The following is a 15,505-nucleotide window of genomic DNA, read 5'->3' as shown; positions in this document are numbered from 1 at the left end:
CTAAAACACTGCCCTGTTTAGTTTATGGTCCTGCTCAAGAATAGCTCTCACAGCATAAAAAACAAAAGACAAATTTGAATATTGGCATTTAAGCCCAACCCACATGCAGCCTCTTCTCTCTCCAATATCTCCTACCACACTTCTTTCTTTCTTTTTATATTTTTTTGGGACAGGGTCCTGCTCTGTTGTCCAGGCTGGAGTGCAGTGGCACCATCCACAGCTCACTGTAGCCTTGACCTCTGGGCTCAGGTGATCTTCTGGCTTTAGCCTCCCAAGTAGCTAGGACCACAGGTACATGCCACCATTTTGGGCTCATTTTTTTTTTTTTTTCTGTACAGACAGGGTCTCGCTATGTTGCCCAGGCTGGTCTCAAACTCCTGGCTTCAAGTGATCCACCTTGGCCTCCCAAAGTGCTGAGATTACAGAAGTGAATCACTGTGTCTGGCCATATTTTTTTTTTTTTTTTTTTTTTGAGACGGAGACTTGCTGTGTCGCCCAGGCTGGAGTGCAGTGGTGCGATCTTGGCTCACTGCAACTTCTGCTTCCCGGGCTCAAGCGATTCTCTTGCCTCAGCCTCCTGAGTAGCTGGGACTACAGGCACGCGCCAATACACCCAGCTAATTTTTCTATTTTTAGTAGAGACGAGGTTTCACCATGTTTGCCAGGATGGTCTCGATCTTCTGACTTCGTGATCCCCCTGCCTCGGCCTCCCAAAGTGGTGGGATTACAGGCGTGATCCACTGCTCCCGGCCCTGGCCATATTTCTTAAACTTTATGGCCACCAGGAATGCATACCACTTATACTCTTCCAGGAGGATGAAAGTCTTAAGATGTCTGAAAAGGGGTCTCTAACCCCTGGGAGTGCTAATACAGTAAGGCCCATACTGCTTGCTCTTGCCCTCCTCCTGTTCTAGTCTCTTCAGTCATGAGATTATGAGCTCCTGATGTCCAGGCACATGCAAAAAGTGAAGAAATATGTGCCTTGAACAGCTGGGCAGAATTCTTAGCTGGGAGCGGTGGCTCACGCCTGTAATCCCGGCACTTTCGTAGGCCAACGTGGGCCGATCACTTGAGTCCAGGAGTTACAGACCAGCCTGGGCAACATGGTAAACCCCGTCTCTACAAAATATACAAAAAATTAGTCAGGCATGCTGGCGTGTGCCTGTAGTCCCAGCTATCCGGGGAGGCTGAGTTGGGAGGATCATCTTAATCCAGGAGTTTGAGGCTGCAAGTGAGCCATGATCGCTCCATTGCACTCCATCATCCTGGGCGACAGAGTGAGACCCTTCTAAAAAAAAAACAACCAACAAAAACAACAAAAAATCCCAACTTATTCCCCACCAGCTTTCTTTCAAAATCTGTTTTCAAGCTAGCTGAAGTGTTACCTCCTCTAAGCTTTCACTTAACCGAATCTCATAGTCATGATTAATTGCTTCCCTAGCATTTTGTTTAGCTCTACTGATTGCTCTTACTATTTCAAGTCGGTATTATTGATATATTTTTTCCTCCTCACTATACTGAAATCCTGCAGGACGCAGCATTCTTACCGCTTTTCCTTACTCAGCTATACCTTGACCAACCCGAAAGCCGCGCCAGTCTAGTCCATTTTCTATTGGCTTTATCAATTACCAATCATTTCTGTGTTTAACATTTTTATTGGTCCATCTTGTGTTTACTGCCCCGCCCTCTAAGAGGCTCCTGGACTTGGGTTTCCCCCAGGTGTATTCCCTCCTCCTCGGTTCCGCCTTTCCCACACACTGCTTCTTCTGTTTTTACCTCGACTTCCTTCCTATTGGTTCCCTTCGTCCTCCGGAGTTGGCACCTACGGCTGTTGATTGGCTTTTCTGGACGCCCATTGTGCCCACCCTCATACCACGTGGCATTCCTAGCGCTAATTGGGCAATTCCACTACCTCGTTTATCAGGAGTTGACGGTTGACTGGCTACTCTGAGGGAGGGCTTGAGGGAGGGGCGTGGCCAGCCGAGACCCCGCCCCCAACCCCCCTGCTGGGCCGGGTAGGCGTTTCAGTCTTTCGCGGCCCGGGAGCTCAGCAGAGCTACCAGCTGCCCTGTTGGCTTCGCTGGTCGGATCGTCCTCCTGGCCCCGCCAAACAGGCGGGGGGAGCGGCCCCGACTGTGGGGCCATGGCAGTAGTCTCCTCGTTCGCCGCCGCCGCTAGCCTAGCTGAGTCGCCGGCTTCTGCGCTAGGGGCTCCCACCGCCTCCGCAGGCTAAGGAGCCGCTGCCACCAACGAGCTGTGAGGGTTACTATGCTCCCTCTTTGCCGCCGTCTCCTCCTCTTGCCCGCGCAGGCACCCCTCTGGCTGCTCAGTCCTGCCTCAGGTAACGTGAAAAGAGGACGGGGGTCACAAACCCGGGCATCCTGCCTGGCCCGCGCGCGCTGCCGCTCCACCTCCTCTGCCCCGGAGCAGAGGCGCCTGCGTCCCTCCGCACCCGACGGGACCCCTCGGCTTCCCAGAGGTCCCCCTCTCAGCGGCGGCGGACGCTCCCTTCCTGGCCGCTTTCCCCTTTCCTTCTCACTTCCCTCAGGCTCCCCGCCACGTCTGCTCCCCCTTAGAACCTGGGAACCCATTAGAAGTTACCTCGCTCGCATTAGGGATCTTTCGTTTTCTCGGAAAACTCTTGTTTCAGAGACTTCCAGCTCCCCACTGAGCGCCTCCCTGCTCGCATACCCGCTCCTGCCTCAGAGATCTGGGTTCCTTCACTTGACTTCCCTCCGATACACTCTTCCCTCGAAAACGTTCACCTCTACCCAGGAAAACAATTCCCTCCCCTCAGACCCTACTGCCTTCCCCCTCTTCTTTCCTCGCTTGTCATCGTCTCCCTTCCTTTCCCCTCTCTGCTTTTTACTCTTCGCTGTGAAGAGTGGACTAAGCCAGTGTTCAGATTTCGCTACAAGCGAAATCCAGGTTTGCGTAATTTAAAAGTCTTTAAATTGTATACCTCTGAGAAGAACTTGCTGAGGAATTTGGACTTCATGCTGCATGCATGGGGAGCCGTTGAAGGTTTTGTAAGCAGGAGCTTGGTATGATTGCATTATCTTTGGTGAAAATATAGAGGAAGGATTGAAAGTGAAGACCGTGGAGGCGGAAAGGCCAGGTAGGCAGAAAACGAGTGTGCTCATCCAGGCGGGAGGGAATGGCCCGAAATTCCAAGAGGTTTCAAAATAAAGTTGAGAAGAATAGTAGAAAGTTTCTGACTTGGCTGATGGTGTGAATCGGTAGTGTTAATTGAAATAGGGAACATAGTCTCTGGTTATACCACCCTCAACGCTCCTGATCTCATCTGAAATAGGGAGCATAAAAAAGCAATTTTGAGAGAAGGTAATAAATTTGGTTTTGAACAAGTTAAGTTTCAGGGTTTGTTTGTTAGTTTTTGTTTTTTTTGACGGAGTCTCATTCTGTCACCCAGGCTGGAGTGCAGTGGCACGATCTCAGCTCACTGCCACCTCCTCCTCCCAGGTACAAGCGATTCTCCTGCCTCAGACTACCGAGTAGCTGGGATTACAGGCATGCGCCACCACGTCCGGCTAATTTTTGTACTTTTAGTAGAGACGGGGTTTCCCCACGTTGGCCAGGCTGGTTTCGAACGTCTGACCTCAGTCAATCCGCCCACCTCGGCCTCCCACAGTGCTGGGATTACAGGCGTGAGCCACTGCTCCCAGCCGAGTTTGAGGTGTTTTGAAATATCACTGTGGGTATCTGGAAATTTGGGTCTGAAAATTGGGAGAAAGCTTGGACCTGGATACATAAATTTGGAGGGTCAAGAGAATATATGGGGGATATTTGTGTGCCTTAGTATGGAATGGTAATACTGAAAGATGAGAAGGGCTGTGGACCAGAAGGAGCATCATTGTTTGAAAGGTAATAGACACTGAAAAAGAGAGATTAAAGGAACGGGACAAGAACTAGAACATAACAGCATTATAATAGGAGCCAAAGAAAGGATTTCAAGAAGGGAGTGGGGGGCGGTGACTATCAATGTCACGTGCTTTCGAGGTCCAGCTGAATGAGAGTTAAGAAGCTTTTTTTTTTTTTTCTTTGGTGTCAGGGTCTCACTCTGTCGCCCAGGCTGGAGTGCAGTGGTGCAGTCTCGGATCCTCCCACCTCAGCCTTCTGAGTAGCTGGGATCACAGGCAGGAGCCACCACACCCAGATAATTTTTTGTATTTTTTGTAGAGACGGGATTTCTCTGCGTTGCCCAGGCTGGTCTCGAACTCCTGAGCTCAAAGCTATCTGCCTTCCCCGGCCTCCCAAAGAGCTGGGGTTACAGGGGTGAGCCATCATGCCTGGCCTGCCCTATATTTAGCAATCAGGAGGTCACTTGTTTCCTCTGAAATGCAGTTTTGGTAGGGTGGGGATGGCAAAGAAGGTAGTAGTGAGATCATGATGGATTGAGGAATAAATGAGGAGAAATGAGTAAAATTATTCTCCAGAGTTTGGTTGTGAAGGAGAGCTGGTTCTAGTGAAACTCATCTTTATTGAGAATATACTATATGCCAGGTACATAAAGATGCTTTATAGATCACAACAGCCTTGTGGTTAACATGTCAGTATCCCTCTTTTACAGTGGAGAGTACTGTGGACAAGGATTTGAGCAGGTATGTCTAGTTCTGAAACCTGTGTTCTTTCCATTATGGCACATGTGTGTTTTTCTTTTCAGTACAGGTGAAACAGTTCTGTAAGTGAGGGGAAGGTTCATCTAGGAAATATGTCAGTCAGGCATTTTGCCCTTTGACACCAAAAGGATAGTAGTGAAAATGGATAATGATGTGGTAGAAGGGAAGGAAAGTGAGGGAGTTTAACAGATGGCCTTATCGATGTGATTACTTATCTGTGGAGAAGTCAGTTTGGAGACTGAAGACACTATGGTGAGTTTCTGACTTGAGTATTATGGCCATGGGAATCTTAAATGGAAAATGAAAGAGAATAAAGATTTAACAAAAAAAATTGTTGGCCAGGTGTAGTGGCTCACTTTGGATTTTTTAATCCCAGCACTTTGGGAGGCTGAAGTGGGAGGATCGCTTGAGCCCAGGAGTTTGCGACCAGCATGGGCAACATTGTGAGACCTCGTCTCTACAGAAAATTAAAAAATTAGCTGGGTGTGGTGGTGCATGCCTGTTGTCCCAGCTACTGGAGAGGCTGAGGTGGGAGGATTGCTTGAACCGGGAGGCTGAGGTTGCAGGGAGTCAAGATTGTACCACTGCACTCCAGCCTGGGGGAAAGAAAAAAAAAAAAGCAAAAAAAAACTCAGGAGCTAAAAGATTGTTGACCACATTGAGGGTCCTACTAGTTAGAAATAATATATTTGTAATGGGGCCCAGGAGCATGGATTTTACACTTTCTTCAACAGCCTAAGAATAGTAGGACAAAAAAGATGGTTGGATTGATTCAAAATGGAAACTTGCAGGACAGAAAGATAAAATGGGAAGCAACTTTACACTGCTATTGATAGTGTAGGAGATATGTTTCATTCCAAGGGACCAAGCTGGGAGTTATAAGAAGCAAAATCTAGAGGGAGGCTGGTGTACTTAGAGAATAAAAAGACAATCAGAAATGTGGTTGAAGACCAGATTTTGTAAGAAATATATAATTGGACAGCCCAGAGTTCATTATTTCAAGGTAAAGACAAAAACTGGCTTAACTGTCTCAATGCTGTTGAAGGGGAATGGAGGTGTAGGTTATTGAAGTAGTGGGAGATTAGGGGGCTGTGTTGAATATGTCATCAATATGAATGTCACAGTTGTCCAGCATGATAGCAGGAGATTGAGCAGAGGAGATAGTAAGTCCTATAGGTGGGCCTGCTCACCAAGGAGGGACCCAGAGTTGGATTGGTGGTTCCTTGGCACTTGTTGAAAAGTAGTACCAAATGGTACAGATGTTTGTATATGAATTAATGGTGATATCCTCAGATACTTGATGCCCTGGATGTATGATGTGTTATTCTCTCTTACAGATATATGTTTGGGATAGACCCTCAAACACAAAAAATCCTTTGTAAGCTTGACATATGATGGGCTTTGATTCTGTTTAAAATATATGTGCTGGCTGGGTGCGGTTGCTCACACCTGTAATCCCAGCACTTTGGGAGGCCAAGGCGGGTGGATCACTTGAGGTCAGGAGTTCGAGACTAGCCTGACCAACATGGAGAAACCCTGTCTCTACTGAAAAAAAAAATACAAAAATTAGCTGGGCGTGGTGGTGCATGCATGTAATCCCAGCTACTTGGGAGGCTGAGGCAGGAGAATCGCTTGAACCCGGGTGGTGGAGGTTGCGGTTAGCCGAGATCGGGCCACTGCACTCCAGCCTGGGCAACAAGAGCGAAAGTCCGTCTCAAAAAAAAAAAATGTATATATGTGTGTGTGTGTGTGTGTGTGTGTGTGTGTGTGTGTATGCTGGGAGGCTAGGGACTCTCCACCTCAGGATCCTCAGTAACATTTTTTTATGGTTTTAGTTAATTGTGTGTGTGTGCGTTTGTTTTTTTTTTTAATTAATTTTTTTTTATGGGGTCTTGCTCTGTCACCCAGGCTGGAGTGCAGTGGCAAGATCTCGGCTCACTGCAAGCTCCGCTTCCCAGGTTCACACCATTCTCCTGCCCCTCAGCCTCCTGAGTAGCTGGGATTACAGGCGAGGGCCACCATGCAGGGCTAATTTTTGTATTTTTAGTAGAGATGGGGTTTCACCATGTTGGCCAGGCTGGTCTCAAAAGGTTTTAGTTAATTGTAAAAAGAAAATTACACATTTAAATATGCTCATCCCGGACTTATTTTGAGGAGAAAACTGACTTGCTTTTATGCTTTCTTCCCTGTATGAAAGTATTTATACATATATTCTTAGTGTCATACATTTCATTTTGTTTTGCAAAAAGAATGTAGTGTTGGAATTTGAAACCTATGGTAAAGGCATTTATGGGAATTTCATCTCCTTCTAGTAGATGAAGCCCAATTATTACATTGTATTGTGTGGGTGATGGTGAATGTTTTGACCCAACAATGGCTATTATACTATTTACAAAGTCATCATATGGAGATGACTTCAGTGTAGTCTCACTAGTGTTATTTTCCCTGAACAATCACAGGCAGTGGCTGTTTCAGAGAAAAGCCTGGTTGTAATAAGTTTTATGTCTTCCATTCCTGAAAATTTCCAAAAGGCAGTGTGATAAAAGGAAAAGAACATTAGGAAAACCTTAGTTGTATTCAACTCTGTTGTTATTAACTATATGATGGTTAATATAAAGGCAAATTACTTATCTTTTGTGAGCTTTAGTTTTTTTTTTTAAGATACATTTAATCTTTGAATAGATAATACATTCAACTGGTTATTAAATGTAAACTTTTTTAATATATAAATTTAGGGCTGGGTGCGGTGGCTCATGCCTGTAATCCCAGCACTTTGGGAGGCTGAGGCAGGTGGATCACTTGAGGTCAGGAGTTCGAGACCAGCCTGGCCAAGATGGTGAAACCCCCTTCTCTACTAAAAATATGAAACATTAGCTGGGTGAGGTGGCCTGCGCCTGCTATCTCAGCTACTTGGGAGGCTGAGGCAGGAGAATCACTTCTACCCAGGAAGTGGAGGTTGCAGTGAGCCGAGATCATGCCACTGTACTGCAGTTTAGGCGACAGAGTGAGACTCCGTCTCAAAAAAAAAAAAATAAAATAAAAAATAAATTTATATAACAGTGAAAAGTCGGCTGGGCGCGGTGGCTCATGCCTGTAATCCCAGCACTTTGGGAGGCCGAGGCGGGCGGATCACGAGGTCCGGAGATCTAGACCATCCTGACTAACACGGTGAAACCCCGTCTCTACTAAAAATACAAAAAATTAGCAGGGCGTGGTGGCACATGTATGTCGTCCCAGCTACTCAGGAGGCGGAGGCAGGAGAAGGGCGTGAACCCGGGAGGTGGAGCTTCAGTGAGCCGAGATCGCGCCACTGCACTCCAGCGTGGGCGACAGAGCGAGACTCCATCTCAAAAAAAAACAAAAAACAAAAAACAAAACAGTGAAAAATCTTACTTCCATCTCTGTTCTTTATTAACCTGGTTCCATGCCCTCTCCCAAACACTTTGAATAGTCTCTTTATATTCTTTTAGACTTTATTTTTTATTTTTAATTTAATTTGATTTAATTAATTAATTTATTTATTTTGAGACGGAGTCTCGCTCTGTTGCCCAGGCTGGAGTGCAGTGGCGCGATCTCGGCTCACTGCAAGCTCCGCCTCCCGGGTTCACGCCATTCTCCTGCCTCGGCCTCCCGAGTAGCTGGGACTACAGGCGCCCGCCACCAGGCCCGGCTAATTTTTTGTATTTTTAGTAGAGACAGGGTTTCACTATGTTAGCCAGGATGGTCTCGATCTCCTGACCTTGTGATCTACCCGCCTCGGCCTCCCAAAGTGCTGGGATTACAGACTTGGGCCACCGCGCCCGGCCCTTTATTTTTTATTTTTGAGACAAGAGTCTCACTCTGTCGCCCAGGCTGGTGTGCAGTGGCGCAGTCTCGGCTTTCTGCAACTTCCGCCTTCCGGGTTGAAGCGATTCTCCAGCCTCAGCCTCCTGAGTAGCTGAGTAGCCGTGCACCACCACGCCCGGCTAATTTTTTAATTTTTAGTAGACACGTGGTTTCACCGTGTTGGCCAGGCTAGACTTGAACTCCTGACCTCAAGTGATCTGCCCGCCTCAGCCTCCCAAAGTGCTGGGATTACAGGCATGAGCCACCGCGTTCGGCCTCTTTTAGACTTTCTTTAGGCGAATGCTTACAAATAAGAATATATGGCTGGGCGTGGTGGCTCACGCCTGTAACTCCAGCACTTTGGGCGGCAGAGGCCGGTGGATCACCTGAGGTCAGGAGTTTGAGACCAGCCTGGCCAACATGGTGAAACCCCGTCTCTACTAAAAATACAAAAATTAGCCAGGCATGGTGGCAGGTGCCTGTAATCTCAGTTACTCGGGAGGCCGAGGTAGGAGAATCACTTGAACCAGGAAGGCGCAGGTTGCAGTGAGCCGAGATCGCGCCGCTGTACTCCAGCTTAGGCGACAAGAGGGAGACTCCATCTCAAAAAAAAAAAAAAAAAAAAAGAAGAATTAAAAATGAAATGATACAGTTGGCCCTTGAACAAAACAGGGGTTGGGAAGCCAACCCCTGTGCGGTAGAAAATCCAAGTATAATTTTTTTTTTTTTTAAGACAGAATCTCTTGCTGTTGCGCAGGTTGGAGTGCAGTAGCAGGATCATGGCTCGATGTAGACTCAACTTTGTAGACTCAAGTGATCCTCCCTTTTTAGCCTCCTGAATGAGTAGCTGGGACCACAGGTGCATGCCACCATGCCTGGCTAATTTTTTTTTTTTTGTAGAGACAGGGCCTCCCTATGTTGCCTAGGCTGGTCTCAAACTCCTGGGCATCAACACTCCTCCCATTTCAGCCTCCGGAAGTGCTGGAATTACTGGCATGAGCCACTGTGCCTTGGCCCCAAATATAATTTTTGACCCCCCCTCCGCCGCCCCCTCGCGGCAAAACTTAACTACTGCTGTTGGTGATGGTGTTGCATAACCTGGCTTCATTAATTTCCTTTTTTTTTTTTTCTTTTTTCTGAGACGGAGTTTCGTTCTTGTTGCCCAGGCTGTAGTGCAATGGCACAGCTCACTGCAACCTCTGCCTGCCGGGTTCAAGCAGTTCTCCCTCTTCAGCCTCCCGAGTAGCTGGGTTTACAGGTGTGCGCCACCATGCCCAACTAATTTTTTTGTATTTTTAGTAGAGACAGGGTTTCACCATGTTGGCCAGGCTGGTCTTGAACTCTTGACCTCAGGCCATCCGCCTGCCTCGGCCTCCCAAAGTGCTGGGATTACAGGTGTGAGCCACCACGCCCGGCTCCTCTTTTTTGTTGTTGTTGTTTTTTTTTTTTTGAGACGAAGTCTCTCTCTATTGTCCAGGCTGGAGTGCAGTGGTGTGATCTCAGCTCATTGCAAGCTCCACCTCCTGGGTTCACGCCATTCTCCTGCCTCAGCCTCCTGAGTAGCTGGGATTACAGGTACCCGCTACCATGCCCGGCTAATTTTTTTTGTATTTTTAGTAGAGATGGGGTTTCGCCGTGTTAGCCAGGATGGTCTTGATCTCCTGACCTTGTGATCTGCCCGCCTCAGCCTCCCAAAGTGCTGAGATTACAGGCGTCAGCTACTGCGCCCGGACATTTTTTTTTTTTTTTTGAATTGGAGTTTTGTTCTTGTCACCCAGACTGGAGTGCAATGGCGCCATCTCAGCTCACTGCAACCTCCACCTCCTGGGTTCAAGCAATTCTCCTGCCTCAGCCTCCCGAGTAGCTGGGATTACAGGGGCCTGCCACCACGCCCAGCTAATTTTTGTATATTTAGTAGAGACAGGGTTTCACCATGTTAGCCAGGCTGGTTTCAAATTCCTGACCTCAGGTGATCCACCCCCCTTGGCCTCCCAGGGTGCCTGGATTACAGGTGTGAGCAACCACGCCTGGCCCCAGGTATAATTTTTGACTTCCCGCAAAACTTAACTGCTGTTGCTGTTGGCATTGCATAGCCTGGCTTCATGAATTTACTTTTTTTTTTTTTTTTTTAATGGCTGACCACTACTGCTGCAGATCTCAATCTGTGGTACATATCAAGCAATTCAAATTTTTATTTATTTATTTTTTTGAGACAGGGGCAGTTGCCCAGGCTGGAGTGCAGTGGTCTGATCATAGCTCACTATGGCCTCGACCTCCCAGGCTCAAGCCATCCTCCCATCTCAGTCTCCTGAGTAGCTGGGACTACAGGTGTGTGCCACCACTCCAGGATAAGTTTTTATTTTTTTGTAGAGGCATGGTCTCACTATGTTACCGTGGCTGGTCTCAAACTCCTGGGCTCAAGCAATCCTCCTGCCTTCAGCCTCCCAAAGTCCTGAGATCACAAGTGTGAGCCACCATGCCTGGCCAACTTTTTCGTATAATGTCATGACCTTTCTGTTTCTTGAGAGCACTTCCAGCATTAGTGGCACTTGGTATGGATCTCATGGTGTTATTCAGGGTTTACAGTATTGCACTAAGCATGATGAAAAATATGCACGAACCTTGAGAGATCACTTTTTACTGTGACACTTTTTACTGGAGGAAGGAACTGCTCACGTGGAGACGATTAGCATCACACAGCATTTTAGGGGCTACTCACAACACTTGCTCACTGAAACAGCAACAGGAGGTGGCTCCAGAATTATTACAGAAGTACAGTATATACTATAGTCAATTTTATGCAGTTGTGATTTAATACTGCACCTTTCCATTTGTTTACTGTTGACTATGAATGGCACCATGTATGGTTTGTATTTGTGTGCATAAGTTTTTATACATTTTAACTTTTTATAATAGATTTGTATATATCTTATAGTAAATAATAAAATAGACTAGTATCTACATATATTTTCTGCATTCATGGCATACCTAACTTTTTCTTAATTTTTTTGATGTTTCTAGGCTAGGTGTTTTGTTTCTGAGTTTTTTTCAAAATGTTATACATCTCCAAAAATTTAAAAAATATATTTGTTGAAAAAAATCTGTATGTAATACAGCTTTGCCTGTAGTTTCAGCTACTCCAGAGGCTGATGTGGGAGGATTACTCGAGGCCTGGAGTTTGAGGCCATAGTGTGCTATGATCACACTTGTGAATAACTACAGCACATGAGTGGACCTGTACAGTTCAAACCCGTGTTGTTCAAGGGTCAATTGTATAGTCCTGTTTTTCCCACTTTTCATGTACAGTTGCCCATGGTTCCCCACTGTTCTGCACTTCCCACCCCCAATCTTGCTTATTTTTTTTTTGAGACGGAGTGTTGCTCTGTCGCCCAGGCTGGAGTGCAGTGGCGCAATCTTGGCTCACTGCAAACTCCGCCTCCTGGGTTCACGCCATTCTCCTGCCTCAGCCTCCCGAGTAGCTGGGACTACAGGCGCCTGCTACCACGCCTGGCTAATTTTTTGTATTTTTAGTGGAGATGGGGTTTCACCGTATTAGCCAGGATGGTCTCGATCTCCTGACCTCGTGATCCGCCCACCTCGGCCTCCCAAAGTGCTGGGATTACAGGCGTGAGCCACCAGGCCCGGCCGCTTATTTACTTTATATATCTTAGAGACCTTTCCAGATCAGTACATAGAGAGCTTCCTCATTCTTTTTTTTTGGTTATATATATTATTATTTTTTTGAGACAGAATCTCACTTCATCACCCAGGCTGGAGTGCAGTGGTGCGATCTCAGCTCACTGCAACCTCCATTTCCCGGGTTCAAGTGATTCTCCTGCCTCAGCCTCCTGAGTAGCTGGGATTACAGGTGTGCACCACCACACCTGGCTAATTTTTGTATTTTTAGTAAAGACGGGGTTTAACCATGTTGGTCAGGCTAGTCTCGAACTCCTGACCTCAGGTGATCCACCCACCTTGGCCTCCCAAAGTGCTGGGATTACAAGTGTGAGCCACTGTGGCCTATATATATATTATTTATTTATTCATTTATTATTATTATTATTTTCTTTTTAATCACCTGCATAGTATTCCATTGAATGGATGTATCATAATTTATTTAACTAATTCCTTATAATGGACATTTATGTTTCCAGTGTTTTGATATTATAAACAATGCTGTAAAAAGGGCCTTTGAATGTGTCATTTTATATGTGTGCAAGGATATTTGTGGGATAAATTCACAGAAGTGAGATTTCTTTTTTTTTTTTTTTTGGAGACTGAGTTTTGCTCTGTTGCCCACACTGGAGTGCAGTGGCGCAATCTTGGCTCACTGCAACCTCCACCTCCTAGGTTCAAGCAATTCTTCTGCCTCAGCCTCCTGAGTAGCTGGGACTACAGGTGTGTGCCACCACGCCCAGCTAATTTTTATATTTTAATAGAGATGGGGTTTCACCCTATTGGCCAGGCTGATCTCGAACTCCTGACCTTGTGATCCGCCCACCTCGGCCTCCCAAAGTGCTGGGATTACAGGTGTGAGCCACCATGCCCGGCCCTCAGTCTTTTCTTTTATAGCTTTTGGATATTGAGTAAAAAAGATAGAAGAGCCTGACTGGGCGTGGTGGCTCACGCCTATAATCCCAGCACTTTTTGGGAGGCTGAGGCGGGTGGATCACCTGAGGTCAGGAGTTCGAGACCAGCTGACCAACATGGTGAAATCACGTCTCTACTAAAAATACAAAAATTAGCCGGGTGTGGTGGCATGCGCCTGTAGTTCCAGCTACTCGGGAGGCTGAGACAGGAGAATGGCTTGAACCAGGGAGATGGAGGTTGCAGTGAGCCGAGATCTATCTTGCCACTGCACTCTGGCCTGGGCAACAGAGTGAGACTCCATCTCAAAAAAAAAAAAAAAAAAAAAAAGAAGGGCCTTCTGCATTTCAGTCCTTTATTTTTTTAATCTATCCGATGGGAACAAGAAAACAATTATTGTGAAGATCAAAATGCTCTGTGAACTGTAAACTGTAAATCATTATACAGATTAAATATGGTGTTATTTATTAATTTGTCTTTGGAACAAGTGTGGAGGCTATTCTCTCTTCCTCTGAATTAAATAAAATAGAATAATATAATTTTTTGGGGGGGCTGGGCGTGGTGGCGCATGCCTGTAACAGCTGCTTTGGAGGGTAAGGCAGGAGAATTGCTTGAACACAGGAGGCAGAGGTTGCAGTGAGTCGAGATTGAGCCATTGCACTCCAACCTGGGCAACAAGAGCAAAAACTCCGTCTCCAAAAAAAAAAAATTTTTTTTTTCTTTCTGCAGTATGGAAAACTAGGGTGGTATTGATCTTGTGGTCAGTGTTTTCCTTGGACAATTTCATGGAATCTTCTTCACAATGACTTCCACAATGATTTCACTATGGAAATCATAAAGTATTTTTTATACTTAGTCCTATTATTCTTTGTATTAGGTGTAACTAGAATCTGACTAAAAGTTCTCAACATTTGTTTCACTTTCACATTACATAGTATTTACTTTGGGTTTTGTATTGCTACTGTTTGTTAGGAATTTGTATTTTGGAAGGATGTTAAAAATTTTTTTGGCGATTATAAAAGTAATGCATATTCATTAAGGAAGAATTGGAAAATAGAGATTTTAAAGGAGAAGATACACATTATTCATAATTTGCCCATGATTCAAAAAGTTAAAAACAGGCTGGGTATGGTTGCTCACCCCTGTAATCCCAGCACTTTGGGAGGCTGAGACAGGCGGATTATGTGAGGTCAGGAGTTTGAGACCAGCCTGGCCAATACGGTGAAACCCCGTCTCTACTAAAAATACAAAAATTAGCTGGGCATGGTGGTGTGCATCTGTAATCCTAGCTACTCAGGAGGCTGAGGCAGGAGAATTGCTTGAACCCAGGAGGCAGAGGTTGCAGTGAGCTGAGATTGTGCCACTGCTCTCCAGCCTGAGCGGGCCACACAGTGAGACTCTGTCTCAAAAAAAAAAAAAAAAGTTAAAAACCATTGTTAACATTTTGGACTGTATCCTCTCAGAATTATTTGTCTGTGTATGTCTATATTGTCGTCACCATCTCTCCAGGATTTGGCATAGTGCCTGGCCCGTAAGAGGTGCTAAATAAATATATGTTGGCTGAGTGAATGAAAGAAGGAGTATGTTTTTTACATTGAAAATGTGGAATCTCGATGTCCTATTTATTTTGCTTTTTCTCCACTGTACATTTTGACTCAATATTGTAGTATTATACTTTGTATTGCCATAGTTTGAAGGTAAGTTTGAGTCCAAGCCCTTAGCTTGAACTAAAAGAGCTCATAGTCTGGAAGCTCATAGTCCAGTGAAAGAGATGATAAGCAACAATTAAAATACTATATGATGACTATAATAACTAAGACTTGTGCAGGGTGATATCAAAGCACAGAAAATGAGATTGAGGGGTCAGAGAACACCTCCCACATGAGATGATTACTGAGAGAGTCATGTGGAAGAATCTGGGAAGAACACACCAGGGAGAAAGAATATTACATGCATAGATATTGAAGTGTGAGCAGGGCTCTACAAATATAGCAATTCTCTATGTTTGGAGTAGATTGTGACTGCAGATAGAGGAATGGACATAGATGAGGCTGGAGATGTGGGTAGGGGTCAAATGAGGCAGAACTTTTGTATGACACATGAATGATTCTCAGAAGTTTACTTAGCCTGGTGAAACAGATTGAAAAAAGTGTGAGAGTGGAGCTAGGAAGACCAAAAAGACATTAATTGAGTGCCAAGTAAGTAGTATAGTCAGATTACTACAAGAGCTAGAATGACATGAACATCATATAAGCTGAGGCAGAAAGTCAACACTACATCAGAAGGGTGCGTTAAGTGTAGGGAATAATGATTAGCCTAATTATAGTGGAGCAGAGTAGGGAATAATGATTAGCCTAATTATAGTGGAGCAGAGTCTTCGAATGCCGGGCTAAAGAATTTTATAAGCAACAGATATCATTGAAGATTTTTAACTGTCACCTGTATTGTCTGAACAG

At 45.6% G+C, this 15,505-nt stretch overlaps 1 protein-coding gene across 2 annotated transcripts in view, besides 4 other annotated features; it reads left to right on the top strand.

Annotated features, from left to right (window-relative positions):
• Nucleotides 1,742–2,036: an enhancer, noted in NCBI's record as "tiled region #45; K562 Activating DNase unmatched - State 1:Tss, and HepG2 Activating DNase unmatched - State 1:Tss". NCBI's record gives its function as "activates a minimal TATA promoter and a strong SV40 promoter by Sharpr-MPRA in K562 cells, with weak activation in HepG2 cells {active_cell/tissue: HepG2 | K562}" and the evidence as "EXISTENCE:reporter gene assay evidence [ECO:0000049][PMID:27701403]".
• Nucleotides 1,742–2,092: a biological region, named in NCBI's record as "Sharpr-MPRA regulatory region 45".
• Nucleotides 1,873–2,092: a silencer, noted in NCBI's record as "silent region_830". NCBI's record gives its function as "represses an Ori minimal core promoter by ATAC-STARR-seq in GM12878 lymphoblastoid cells {active_cell/tissue: GM12878}" and the evidence as "EXISTENCE:reporter gene assay evidence [ECO:0000049][PMID:35858748]".
• Nucleotides 2,030–15,505, top strand: part of TESK2 (testis associated actin remodelling kinase 2) — a 147,281-nt gene continuing 133,805 nt past the window's right edge. For both annotated transcript variants that reach the window (NM_001320800.2, NM_007170.3), the window contains exon 1: nt 2,030–2,341. The gene's annotated coding sequence lies outside the window, so the exon portion shown is untranslated. The remainder of the gene's footprint in view (nt 2,342–15,505) is intronic.
• Nucleotides 2,323–2,372: an enhancer, noted in NCBI's record as "active region_970". NCBI's record gives its function as "activates an Ori minimal core promoter by ATAC-STARR-seq in GM12878 lymphoblastoid cells {active_cell/tissue: GM12878}" and the evidence as "EXISTENCE:reporter gene assay evidence [ECO:0000049][PMID:35858748]".

This window comes from Homo sapiens, chromosome 1 (assembly GCF_000001405.40).
Source record: "Homo sapiens chromosome 1, GRCh38.p14 Primary Assembly".
Classification (NCBI taxonomy): domain Eukaryota; kingdom Metazoa; phylum Chordata; class Mammalia; order Primates; family Hominidae; genus Homo; species Homo sapiens.
This window is presented reverse-complemented; position numbering and strand designations above follow the sequence as displayed.